Here is a 12,503-nt window from a genome sequence, read left to right as displayed (position 1 = left end):
CTGCCACCTGCTGGGTCCCTCCTTTCTCCAGCCAGACCTGCAGGCCTTGATGTCATGGCTCAGGGCAGGAAAGTCAATTTTCCCTTCCCAGAGGAAAGCTGCCCCCACCCATAAGGGAGGGGTGACCCCTAAGGGATGGCAACCTCATGGCTAGGATAGGAGCAGGTGAAGGGCTTGCTCCAGGCCAAGTGGCCTGCTGGATGCCAATTCTGGGGGTGCCACCCTGACCCTCCCCCAGGGGAAGAGAGCCCCAGTGGTTGCTAGGTGGGTAGGCAGGGAGGGAGAGGCTGGGCAGGGTCGGGACACCAGAGGATGGGCAGGGTCGGGACACCAGAGGATGGGGAGCAGGCTGCCAAAAACCTATCCTAAGGAGGCTGGGAAGTGCGAGAGGTGGGACCCTGTATGAGCTGAGGCTCCAAGCTCCCAGATCATGTTCCACTGCCCCATTGGACTTCACTTACAAAAGAGAGAATGATTCACCACAGGGCATGAAACCCCAAGTACCAGACCTTTCTGAGCGTGGGAGCCCTGTGACTGCACTATTGGCTTGCCCACAGAGCTGGTCCTGCATGGTCATATGGCTAATGCTCAAAAGGTTTAGTTTTGCAAGACTTGCTCCTGGCTGGGAACAAGTCTCTCTCCTCTGCCTATTTCTCCTCAGTATTTGTCCTCCAGCTTGGAGTGCCAACCCTCCTAGCTGAACACCCATCATGGGCAGCGGGGGTCCAAGGGAATAGATTCAACTCACGCCTGCACAAAAGTAGGACACGATGTAGCCATTATTGATTTTCCTATAAGGAGTGAACTTTCTATTAAAAACAATCACATAAATTATTTAACTAAACCCCACATAGCCATCTATGGTTGTATATAACCAAGAGAGACAAGCTCAAGTAAGCCTTTGAAAAGGGACTAGAGAGCCCATACCTTGTGCCACATGACTTGAGAGCTTTAGGGTCACAACTTAACTTAATAAATTTTTTCTTTTTTTTTCTCTCTCTCTCTCTCCCTAGAGCTTTGGGATTATACATGCTCTTATCCCTTCTGTCTCTGCAACTGCTTTCCTGGCAGCTTGGACATCGGAAGCCACTCTATTTGAAATTAGGGCATCTTAATTCCATCCTAGTGATCCACTCACACCTTTGTCACCCTTTTTTTTTTACAAAGAGCAATAGCTGCCCCCAGCGCCTATGGGCTTTCTCAGGTACAGGCTGTCCCCACTGTATTTTTTTCTGCCTTGGTCAGAAAGGAACGGGGCTGGATTGGAGTGGGGGCCAAATAGCAAAATACTACTCATTTCCAAGGTGTTGCATAAACTCGAGACAGCAGTTCCTCGGAAACTATGCTCTAAACTTCATTCAGTAACTCATTCCCCCACTGTTTCCTGGCCTGGGTAGAAAAGTGATTTTTGCCTTGAATGGCTAATTATTATTGGGTAAATAGCCAATGCTCCTAGCAGCTTAAAGCTTGCTTCAGGTCTTTCAGATTTTTAAAAGGATTTTTACCACTTGTTCTCTAAACATTTAAAATTACAGTACATTTGAAAGAAAGAGAATGGGTTTTTATAAAACAATAAGTTATACAGCAGTTCTTTTGAGTGTGTGCTTTCTTTTTTGGAGACCCTGGTATGAAAAGAAAAGCCGTTTCCTTCTGCCCAGGAAGAGGGTGAAAGCCTGACTCTATTGACCCCAGAGAGCCTGTTAGCATCTCTGCCTTTTGTCTCTGGCTGTCTTGGGTGGAGGGCGACTGTGCATGGGGTTAATTGCCCAGTCGTAACTCCAGTCGTTAAAATTCAAGAGGTGTGCTCTTGTAAGACACTTGAGGTAGATGAACTGTCCTGTAACTTTTATATATGGCACCCCCACCCCCCACCCCTTCGTGTTCCCACACTACTGTTGGCCTAAGCCAATTAGAACTTTCTAAGGAGGCCAGGCCATATCTCTTAGCTCGAGCTCCGCTGGGAGGCCCCAGCCATGTCCCATCTGGTCCTGAGTTAACTCTTGCTCCAGCCACCAAGTGTTTGTTTTTTTTTTTTAGTTAAAAAATAAAGCCACCTCCTTCTTTCCCTGTATGCACAGAACCAATTTAAATTGAGATCCTTATTTTTTTTGTTATCATTTTTTTTCTCTTTCCCAGTGTCTTTCACGCTCCTTTTTGAAGGGGGCTGGCTCCTTTTGAAGTTTATCTTTGGTTCAATAATTCACAGTGGTTGAGCTTGAGGATTTTTCTCTAACTAAATATAAACAAAAGCTCCCCTCCGCTGCAAAAAAAGGAAGGGCCCGAAAGATTCTCTCCTTCACACTGATCAGCAAGTGGCCTCCTTATTGGCTCTTGTCACTTAGTGTCCTCCACTTCCCTGGTGTTGCCATCTTGCAAACATTTGGGGGAAAATGGAGAATGACGAAACTTAATCTGCCAGCACCTTGGGAGTGCAGCGTTGGAGTCAGTCTCCCATCTGTGGGGAAGCTCTAATTTCACTGGCTGTGTTCCTCCCATCAGTCAGGGCTGCAACCTACACAGATCAGTTTCTTTTTCTTTTCTTTGTTTTTTTTTTTTTTTTTTGGAGACAGAGTCTCGCTCTGTCACCCAGGCTGGAGTGCAGTGGCGCGATCTTGGCTCACTGCAGCCTCTGCCTCCCAGGTTCAAGCAATTCTCCTGCCCCAGCCTCCCGAATAGCTGGGACTACAGGTGCGTGCCACCACGCCCAGGCTAATTTTTTGTATTTTTGGTAAAGACGGGATTTCACCGTGTTAGCCAGGATGGTCTCAATCTCCCGACATTGCGATCCACCCGCCTTGGCCTCCCAAAGTGCTGGGATTACAGGCGTGAGCCACTGCGCCAGGTCTCACACAGATCAGTTTCTTAGCACTGAGAAAGAAGCCAGCATAACCCACAGAGTAAGGTGGTAAGGCAGCCGTCAACGGGGCAATGTGGAACAAGAGTGGGAAATTCGACTTTACTTAATTTGGAACAAACAAAGCATCCTAAATCCTTCTCTCATTCCATCTCCTCTCCCCATTGCCTCAGACATAAACTGGATATGATCTGTTAGCGGTGGTGTGCTGGAGCCGGTTTGTACTGAATTGTGAAAGCCAATTTTACATACCTCTTTCCAACTCTCAGTTCAGTGACATCACATTGGTAGCTTAAAATTAGCCATCATGAGAGTATTTACACCATTGAAATTGGCAACTGCTACACATCGGGTTTTTTTTCTTTTCGAGGGGTGGGGGCGGTTCACCAGCTCACTATCGACTGTCAGGGCTTGGCTCCCACCTCCATCTGTGTGCCTTCCTGAAGAGCAGAAGCTAAAACACCACTTTCCCCAGACTCCCTCGCAACTAGGGTTCAGGATGCAGAATAGTTTCTACCAAGCAGAGGTGTGTGCTGTGACTGACAGAGATTTGGGAGATGGAAGTGAGGTGGAGGTCATATTTCTGTACCTTTGGCTGGCCTTTTGAATGCAAGCAAGGTTGTAGAGATGTGGAATTTTCTGTGGTAGTAGTCCAATGTCCAGTTTGTAGGTGGTGAGACGCAGTGGCAGCAGCCAGGCTTTGCACTCCAGTTTCCTGAACTGGGTACCAGCAGCTTTTTGATCCTTAGATTATGGCTCTGGCTATGTTCTCGAACTCCTTAGTCCCACTGGCAACTTCTGATTCCCAGTTTTCTGATTGTGGCTGAGGGAGTGGCTCCCCTGGAGGGTCAGTCCTGGGGGTCATTTCTGGAGGGCCAGCCTAAGTGTCTTCTCCACAGCTCTTTCAATGATGTGGTTAACATTCAATTCTCTGTATTAAATTGCTTTCTGTTGAAATACTGAAAGTGGGGTCGGTTCGGTTCCCCGCAATGAACTCTGCCATTGCTCTGTTTCTGGATTCTGCTCCTGCCACACCCCCTGCTAGAATGTTCTTTTTGGGCACGCACAAAAAAAATCATCTGTCTCGATAGATTATAAATCTCTTGAGAGCAAAGTTCAGTGGTATGAGCCTTTCTCACAGCATAACACACAAGGGGTGCTCAATAAATAACTAGATGCACAAATGAGTGAATTGATAAATGGGTGAGTGAATGACACCAGAGTATTATCAGATTTCTGACTCCAAGTTTCTGCCCAGTTCTGCTCTGAGCCTCTCTCCTCGCATCTACAAGCCCTAGGCTCAAACTCTAACTCTGTACTCATTTTGTGACATTGAAAAAGCTACTCTGTAAGCAGTTTCCTCATCTGTAAAATGGGGCCAATGTTAATGATACCTAGTTTTTCAGGATTATTGGAAGGATTAAAACCACACAATTGGCCAGGCATGGTGGCTCACACCTGTGATCCCACCACTTTGGGAGGCTGAGGCAGGCAGATCACCTGAGGTCAGGGGTTCAAGACTAGCCTGGCCAACATGGTGAAACCCCGTCTCCACTAAAAATGCAAAAATGAGCTGGATGTGGTGGCACATGTCTGTAATCCCAGCTACTCAGGAGGTTGAGGCAGGAGAATCTCTTGAACCCAGGAGACGGAGGTTGCAGTGAGCCTAGATTGTGCCACTGCACTCCAGCCTGGACAACAGAACGAGACTCCCCCCCACAAAAAAACAAAACAAAACAAAACAAAACAAAACAAAACAAAACAAAACACAATTTGAGGTTCTTGCCCCAGTCAGTTTTCATTCGCCCAGCTCAGGGCCAGGTACTGGAGCGTACTGCCTGAAGTTAGGTGGCCACCTGTGTGAATCCTGCCTCTTTTCCCCACTTGCTTTGGGTCCTGAGGCAAGTTAAGTTACCTATCTGAATCTCAATTTTCTCATCTTTAAAAGGAGTGAAAACATACCCCTTCCTCACTCAGATGCTGTAGGATTCAAAATGTGCATGTGTATATAGTATTTTTTAATTTTTACTCTTGGTAAAGAGGGAGTCTTGCTGTGTTGCCCAGGCTGGTCTCTATCTCCTGGGCTCAAGTGATCCTCCTGCCTTGGCCTCCCAAAGTGCTAGGATTATAGGTGAGAGCCACCACACCCGGCCTTATGTGTATATAGTATTTTGTGTGTTTGTGTTATCACTATCATGTAGTCTCTGACACCTACTAGCTGCTCAATGAAAGTGAATTCCACTGACCAAAGTCCTTCCTATCTTGGGGAGATAGAGAACCTAGTTATTTAGAGATGAGGTTTCAGGACTCCAAGAGTCCCTGCTGTTTTATGTTGTTTAAAGACACCCCTCTCCCCCAGAGCTGTCAATGCCCATAGGTACTGGCAGAGCTGTAACACCAGGCTAAAGTTCCACAGGAACTTTTTTCCTGACAAAGTCCTGGAAAAGTGAATGGGCAGGTAATTGAAAGACATGAGAAAGTTCCAGAAAGGGCAGGTGACAATGAGTTAGGCCAAGCACATTGCTTTTTCTCTTGTTAACCTTTGAGTCAGCCTGGCTGCTCACCTGAAGAGGTTAGAAAAATTAGGGGGTCAGTCTTCACAAAACTATTGGAGACCTGATGCTCTCTGGGAGTTATTTGGGAGAAATTTTCCTGCTGTTGGATTACCAGTAACCTAGCACAGGTTCACACCTGCATTTTTGTAACTGAGAGACTCATCTGGCACTTGTTTGATATCGTCTACCAAGTTTGAAATTGTCTACCAAGAGCCAGAAATGCTGCACACAGGTTAGTGACATCACTCTTGTATCAGTTAAGAATGTTTCGGGTGGTTTCCGGTGCAGGAACTGAGAGACCCTTTGGTGTTCTACCTGGAGGCATGGCTGGCGGATGAGATCTTTGGCCCAGATGGAGCCATAACTCTAGAAATGGAGTGGATGATCCAGGCCCTGCTGACAGTGGGCATAGTGGACTCTGGGAACCTAGTGGAAATCACCATTTTTGGTCGGCCCTGTGTACCCAATCGGGTGAAGAGGATGCTCCTGTGCCTGGCATGGTTTCACCGAGAACATTGTGCCTGAACTGAGAAGATGAAACACTTTGAGAACTTGAAGGCCTGTGCATCAGGCCTCCATACTCTCCAACATCCTATTGCTTAGGACAACATAATTATTGTCAGGAGCATCTTGAGAACGTTCCTACTTTTGCTGCTGAAGTTGAAGAGAAGCAAGTATAGCATTCCTAAATCCCTGCATTCCTTTTTCCTGTGTCTTGATGGATGGTGGTTGCAAGAGTGAGTTTGAGGAACTATTCTCATAAAGAAATGGCTATTTTGCCCAATGCGTAAAGATCTTTGCACACTTATAATAAAACAAATATATATATGAATGTTTCAGTTGCAGATGTGCAGATGATAGGAAAAACCTACTAAAGCTTCTTAGGCATGAAGGGGATTGTACAACACCCTTTCCACCCTCATTCTGTCCCCCGTGAATTACAAGTAAACAGGTAGAGTAGGGTCCTGGAGTGGCCTGAGTTAGCCCTGTGATGACATTACCAACCCAGTTTTCGGCTTTGCTCCCTTGGGCAGGCTCCCTGTCAAGCTCTCTGTGGTTGTCCCTGCTAGCTTCCAGCCCACCCATCATGGTCTTCAGATGGTGGTGCCTCCAGACCTATATCCAGGTAGCGCCCAATCCTGTGGAAGAGAAAACATTCTTTCCCTCAATCCTGGGCAAACATGTTCTTCCATCTCATTGGCTCTGATTGGATTACATGCCAATCCCTACACCAGTCACCATTGGCTTCAGGTGGACATCAGAAGCATCCATCGGCTTAAGACTCTCAGGGCCTACCCCTAGGTCTGGGGGTGTGACAGGCAGAATTTCTAAGAATGGCCCCCAAGACCCCATGTCCCATGTTATAGTTTGGATATGGATATATTTTGGATATAGATATAGTTTATTTGGCCCCTCTAAATCTCATGTGGAAATGTGACCCCCAGTGCTGGAGGTGGGACCTGGTGGGGGGTGTCTGGGTCATGGGGCTGGATCCCTCATGAATGGCTTGGTGTTGGTGTTGTCCTCACTGTAATGAGTGAGTTCTTGCTGTCTGAGTTCCCACGAAAGCTGATTGTTAAATAAAGCCGGGCACCTCTACCCCACCCCCCTTGCTTCCTCTTTTGTCACATGGTCTTGGCATACCTTGGCTCCCCTTCATCTTCAGCCATGAGTGGAAGCAGCCTGAGGCCTCATCAGAAGCAGCTGCTGGAGCCATGCTTCTTGTACAGCCTGCAGAACTGTGAGCCAAACAAACCTCTTTTCTTTATAAACTACCCAGCTTCAGGAATCCCTTTACGGCGATGCAAAAGAACGAAGATACCCCTTACGCCTTGGAAACTGTAAATGTGATGAGATTTCACTCCCATGGTTGTGTTATGTTATATAGCACAGCTGATCTTTAAAAAGGGAGATTATCTGAGTGGGCCTAATCTAATCACACGAACCCTTAAAAGCAGAGAACTTTCTCTGGCTGGTGGCAGAAGAGAAAAGAGAAGAAAAAATCATAAAAAAATAAAAGCACAAGAATAACTCCAAGTGCCCTTGTTGACTTTAAGATGGAGGGGACCACGTGGAAAATGTGAGGAGAAACTGCATTCTCTCAACAACCTGAGTGAGTTTGGAAGTGCATTCTTTCCCAGATTTTCCAGAAAGGAACACAGCCCTGTTGACACCTGGATTTTAGCCTAATGTGCTAAGTGCTCTAAGCAGAGAATCCGGCTGAGCCACTTCTGACCCATGAAACTGTGAGCTGGCCACTGTTTCTGAAAATTTGTTACATAGCAAGAGAAGATGAATACAGATGTTAAGGCTGACTCCACGCAAACCACGAATAGTTGAGAATGGTAGAAAAATGGTTTCCTAGGTAGGGTTACCAGATAAAGAAAAATACAAGACTCTTAGTTAAATTTGAATTTCAGATACATTATAGAATTTTTAAGTATAAATATGTCCCCAGTTCCCCAGTTTGAATTGCAGATAAACAATGATTTTTTTTTTAAGTATGAGTATGTCCTGTGTAATATTTGGGACAAACTTTTTTTTCTTTTTTTCTTTTTTTTTTTTTCTTTTTGAGAGAGGGTCTCATTTTGTCACCCAGGATGGAGTGCGGTGATGCGGCCCCGGCTCACTGCAGCTTCAACCTTGTGGGCTCAAGCAATCCTCCCACCGCAGCCTCCCCAGTGACTGGGACTCCAGGCATGTGTCACCACACCCAGCTAATTTTTGTATTTTTTGTAGAAATGAGGTTTCCTTGTGTTGCCCAGGCTGGTCTCAAACTCCTGAGCTCAAGAAATCCGCCCATCTCAGCCTCCTACAGTGCTGTGATTGCAGGTGTGAGCCACTGTGCATGGCCGGGACAAACTTATACTAAAAAAATTATTAATTGTTTATCTGAAATTCAAATTTCACAGCCCAAGTCACATGGAAAGTCCAGGTGTTGGCACTCTGGTAGACAGCTGACTTCCCAGATGACAGCTGTTGTCAACTGCCAGCGCCTGTGCAGGCACCATCTTGGATGTCCAGCCCAGTTGAATCTCCAGAGGAATCCAGCCCTGGCCAGTTCCTGACTGCAACTGCATGAGAGACCCCAAGCAAGAGCCACCCACCTGAGCCCAGTCAATCCACAGAACTATGAGAGGCTATCATAAATTGTTGTTTTATGGGATGGGGTTCAGGACCCACTACTCCAAAATATGGCACCTTGGCATTTGAGAAAACTACAGAAGCAGGTAGGACTTTCTGATCTTCTCCCAACCTTTTCCCCTGAAGCAGGCCATAAAACCTGGAAAATACTTTTTTGACTTTTCCATGAAGCAGGTCATAAGACCCTCATGTGAGAGGTGGTACCCTTTCAATAGCCAACAGAAAGGAACTTCTTTATGTCTGAAGACACAGGGACGCAGAGAGGAACCTGAATAAACAGGCTTGCGAAGTTCCTCTCCCCACCCCAGTTTACTACCATTGGATCATACATTCTTTGTGCAATCATACTTCTCCATGACCAGCCACCTCGTCATCAAACCTAAGCATAAAAATTTGCAAGTTTACCCATTTCTTTGGGTTTTCATTTCTGAGTACTCTCATGTCACGTAAAACGTATATGAAATACATTTGTATGCTTTTCTCTTGTTAATCGATCTTGTTTTAGGTGCCTCATCCATGAACCCAGTGATGAATGAGAAAAGAAATCTTTTCTCCCCTACATATGCCTCCACGTTTTAGGGTGGTTTGCTATACAGCAATAGACCATTGAAACAGGGAGAACGGCCTTCTAATGGATATGAGAAGTATTTTCAGGGGCATAAAGCAATACTTTCTTCTCCCTTACCACTGCCTCTCCCCACCTTTTAAACTCATTTCTTAACCTTTTGATACCACTGCTGGTGAGCTGAAAGTTTCATATTCATAAATGTCACAGTGTAGTGGTTAAGGCCAAAGACAGGTAAGTCAGAAAAATCTTGGCTCGGCTCTCTGCTCCTCCTGTTCTACAGTCAGCCGCATCTTCTTTTGCATCGTCAGCCAAACCACATCCCTGAGACACCATGGGGAAGGTGAAGGTCGGAGTCAACAGATTTGGTCGTACTGGGCGCCTGGTCACCAGGGCTGCTTTTAACTCTGGTAAAGTGGATATTGTTGCCATCAATGACCCCTTCATTGACCTGAACTACATGGTTTACATGTTCCAATATGACTCCACCCATAGCAAATTCCATGGCACCGTCAAGGCTGAGAATGGGAAGCTTGTCATCAATGGAAATCCCATCACCATCTTCCAGGAGCGAGATCCCTCCAAAATCAAGTGGGGCGATGCTGGCGCTGAGTACGTCATGGAGTCCACTGGCGTCTTCACCACCATGTAGAAGGCTGGGCCTCATTTGCAGGGGGGAGCCAAAAGGGTCATCATCTCTGCCCCCTCTGCTGATGCCCCAATGTTTGTCATGGGTGTGAACCATGAGAAGTATGACAACAACCTCAAGATTGTCGGCAGTGCCTTCTGCACCACCAACTGCTTAGCACCCCTGGCCAAGGTCATCCATGACAACTTTGGTATCGTGGAAGGACTCATGACCATAGTCCACGCCATCACTGCCACCCAGAAGACTGTGGATGGCCCCTCCGGGAAACTGTGGCGTGATGGCCACGGGGCTCTCCAGAACATCATCCCTGCCTCTACTGGCACTGCGAAGGCTATGGGCAAGGTCATCCCTGAGCTGAACGGGAAGCTCACTGGCATGGCCTTCTGTGTCCCCACTGCCGTGTCAGTGGTGGACCTGACCTGCCGTCTGGAAAAACCTGCCAAATATGATGACACCAAGAAGGTGGTGAAGCAGGCATCGGAGGGCCCCCTCAAGGGCATCCTGGGCTACACTGAGCACCAGGTGGTCTCCTCCGACTTCAACAGCAACACCCACTCTTCCACCTTCAATGCTGGGGCTGTCATTGCCCTCAACAACCACTTTTTCAAGCTCATTTCCTGGTATGACAATGAATTTGGCTACAGCAACAGGATGGTGGACCTCATGGCCCACATGGCCTCCAAGGAGTAAGACCCCTGGACCACCAGCCCCAGTAAGAGCACAAGAGGAAGAGAGAGACCCTCACTGCTGGGGAGTCCCTGCCACACTCAGTCCCCCACCACACTGAATCTCCCCTCCTCACAGTTTCCATGTAGACCCCTTGAAGAGGGGAGGGGCCTAGGGAGCCCCACCTTGTCATATACCATCAATAAAGTACCCTGTGCTCAGCCAAAAAAAAAAAAAAGAGAGAGAAAAATCTTGGCTTACATTTTGACTTTGTGAAAATTACTTTACCTCTCTAAACCTAGAATTGCCCATCTGTAAAATGGCAATGATGGGTCAGGCATAGTGGTGCATGCCTGTGGTCCTGGCTACTCCGGAGGCTGAGGTGGGAGGATCACTTGAGCCAAGGACTTCTGGGCTGTAGCACGCTATGCTGATCAAGTGTCCACACTAAGTTCAGCATCTATATGGTGACCTCCCAGGGGCGGGGGACCACGAGGTTGCCTAAGAAAGGGTGAACTGGCCCAGGTTGGAAACGGAGCAGGTCAAAACTCCCGTGCTGATCAGTAGTGGGATCTTGCCTGTGAATACTCACTGTGCTCCAGCCTGGGCAACACAGTGAGACCCTGATCTCTTAAAAAGAAAAAAAAAGATAAAAAAAAATGGGAATGATGGGCTAGTCAGCTGCCCAGTCAGAGCACTGTTCTGAAGATCACATAAGAAAATATAGTGCCTGGCATGTAATACATGCTTAATAAATACTAGCCATTGTTATTATCAGTAATGACATCCAGCAATGGCTTTAATAAACAACTTCCATCTAATTATTGGCAGAAAGGAGAACTACCGTTTAGTTGTTTTGGATTGGAAGCCATTGTTGGTGGTAGAGATTCCCCATTTATACCTGGTGCTTGGCTTATAACCCCAGCAGCTAATCACCTGGGTCACCTTGGAACACATTTTATACTAGTTGAGCTTGGAGAATTCATTAGGAAGTCACACGATCAGAGATTAATGACTTTTAAAAAATGATTTAGGTGGGTGTTTAGTTATCATTGTCTCAAATTAGAAGAAAAATTCCCCAGTAGAGATTATTGTAACCCTGCTTGATGGCTTGGAACCACGGGGGCACCTCCATCACTCCATTGCCACAAAGTTACCCAGCCCCTGGGGGCTCCCCGGCAACTCTCTGAGCAGGGGTAGGGGGCCTTCTAGTTGGAGACTGGCTCTGAATCAGCTCATCCTCATAGGAGGAGACTCCTACCCCAGCTTCATTGAATGTCAAACCTTCGTTTCCACACCTCACTGGTAACTCTAAGAAGTCATGTGCCATCAGTGAGGGAGAAGCAGTTTATGGAGAAGTTTGGAAGTGTGTGCTGCTGCTTTTCCTCCATGTGGGTAATTCTTCACTTTTCTTGGACTCACTGACACCTTTGAGAATGCAATGAAACCTATGGACCCAGTCCTGGAAAAAGTGCACAGATGCACACACTTTTGCTTACTGTGCCAAGGATTCCTGAACCCCTGAATCCTGGTGCATGGTTTCCAGGCTAAGAAATTTTGCATGAGATATTCCAGAGTCTGTCCCTTGTGAAGCCACCTTAGTGTAAGACCCCTGTTAGTCACTGCGGCATAGTTTTCCCTGAACAGCATCATTGCTTTTGTTGCAGTATACTAATACGGTGGTGTGAGGTTAAGACAGTCTTGTGTGTTCTTTTGCCCTGTGTAATGTGAGAATGTTGTTTGTGATACTATATTTATGATAATCTATGGCAAAAACTTGCCTCCCTGATCTCCATGTTAGGAATAACTGTGCTTCTCCCAACTGTGCTTTGTTTTTATATCACTGACTCGGCTCAGTGATATAAGTCACAGTGCAACCCGGCTTCCTTTTTCCCCTGGGCTGCTGGGGAACTCAGCCTCAAACTTGTGTTCTGTCTCCAGTGAGTGCAGTAGGTTTCATGGCAGGTGTTTTGTGTAATCACCTCACTCTTGGCTCCATCTTATTTTCCTCTCCTTGTTTTCCCTTTACGTCATTTGCTCTAATTTACTGCTAATTTATTTTATGCTGTT

At 46.7% G+C, this 12,503-nt stretch overlaps 1 long non-coding RNA gene and 3 pseudogenes across 2 annotated transcripts in view; 3 read left to right on the top strand and 1 right to left on the bottom strand.

The window, feature by feature from the left end:
- Positions 1-12,503, bottom strand: part of LOC105373177 (uncharacterized) — a 34,303-nt gene that overhangs the window by 10,845 nt on the left and 10,955 nt on the right. The gene's annotated exons all lie outside the window — the stretch shown is intronic.
- On the top strand, positions 5,681-6,235 carry OOEPP1 (OOEP pseudogene 1; annotated as a pseudogene).
- Positions 9,761-10,658, top strand: GAPDHP1 (glyceraldehyde-3-phosphate dehydrogenase pseudogene 1; annotated as a pseudogene).
- RN7SL732P (RNA, 7SL, cytoplasmic 732, pseudogene) lies at positions 10,776-11,065 on the top strand (annotated as a pseudogene).

The sequence above is a fragment of the Homo sapiens genome, chromosome X (genome assembly GCF_000001405.40).
Source record: "Homo sapiens chromosome X, GRCh38.p14 Primary Assembly".
Taxonomy (NCBI): Eukaryota; Metazoa; Chordata; class Mammalia; order Primates; family Hominidae; genus Homo; species Homo sapiens.
The sequence above is the reverse complement of the archived record's forward strand: the minus strand, read 5'-3'. Positions and strand labels throughout refer to the sequence as shown.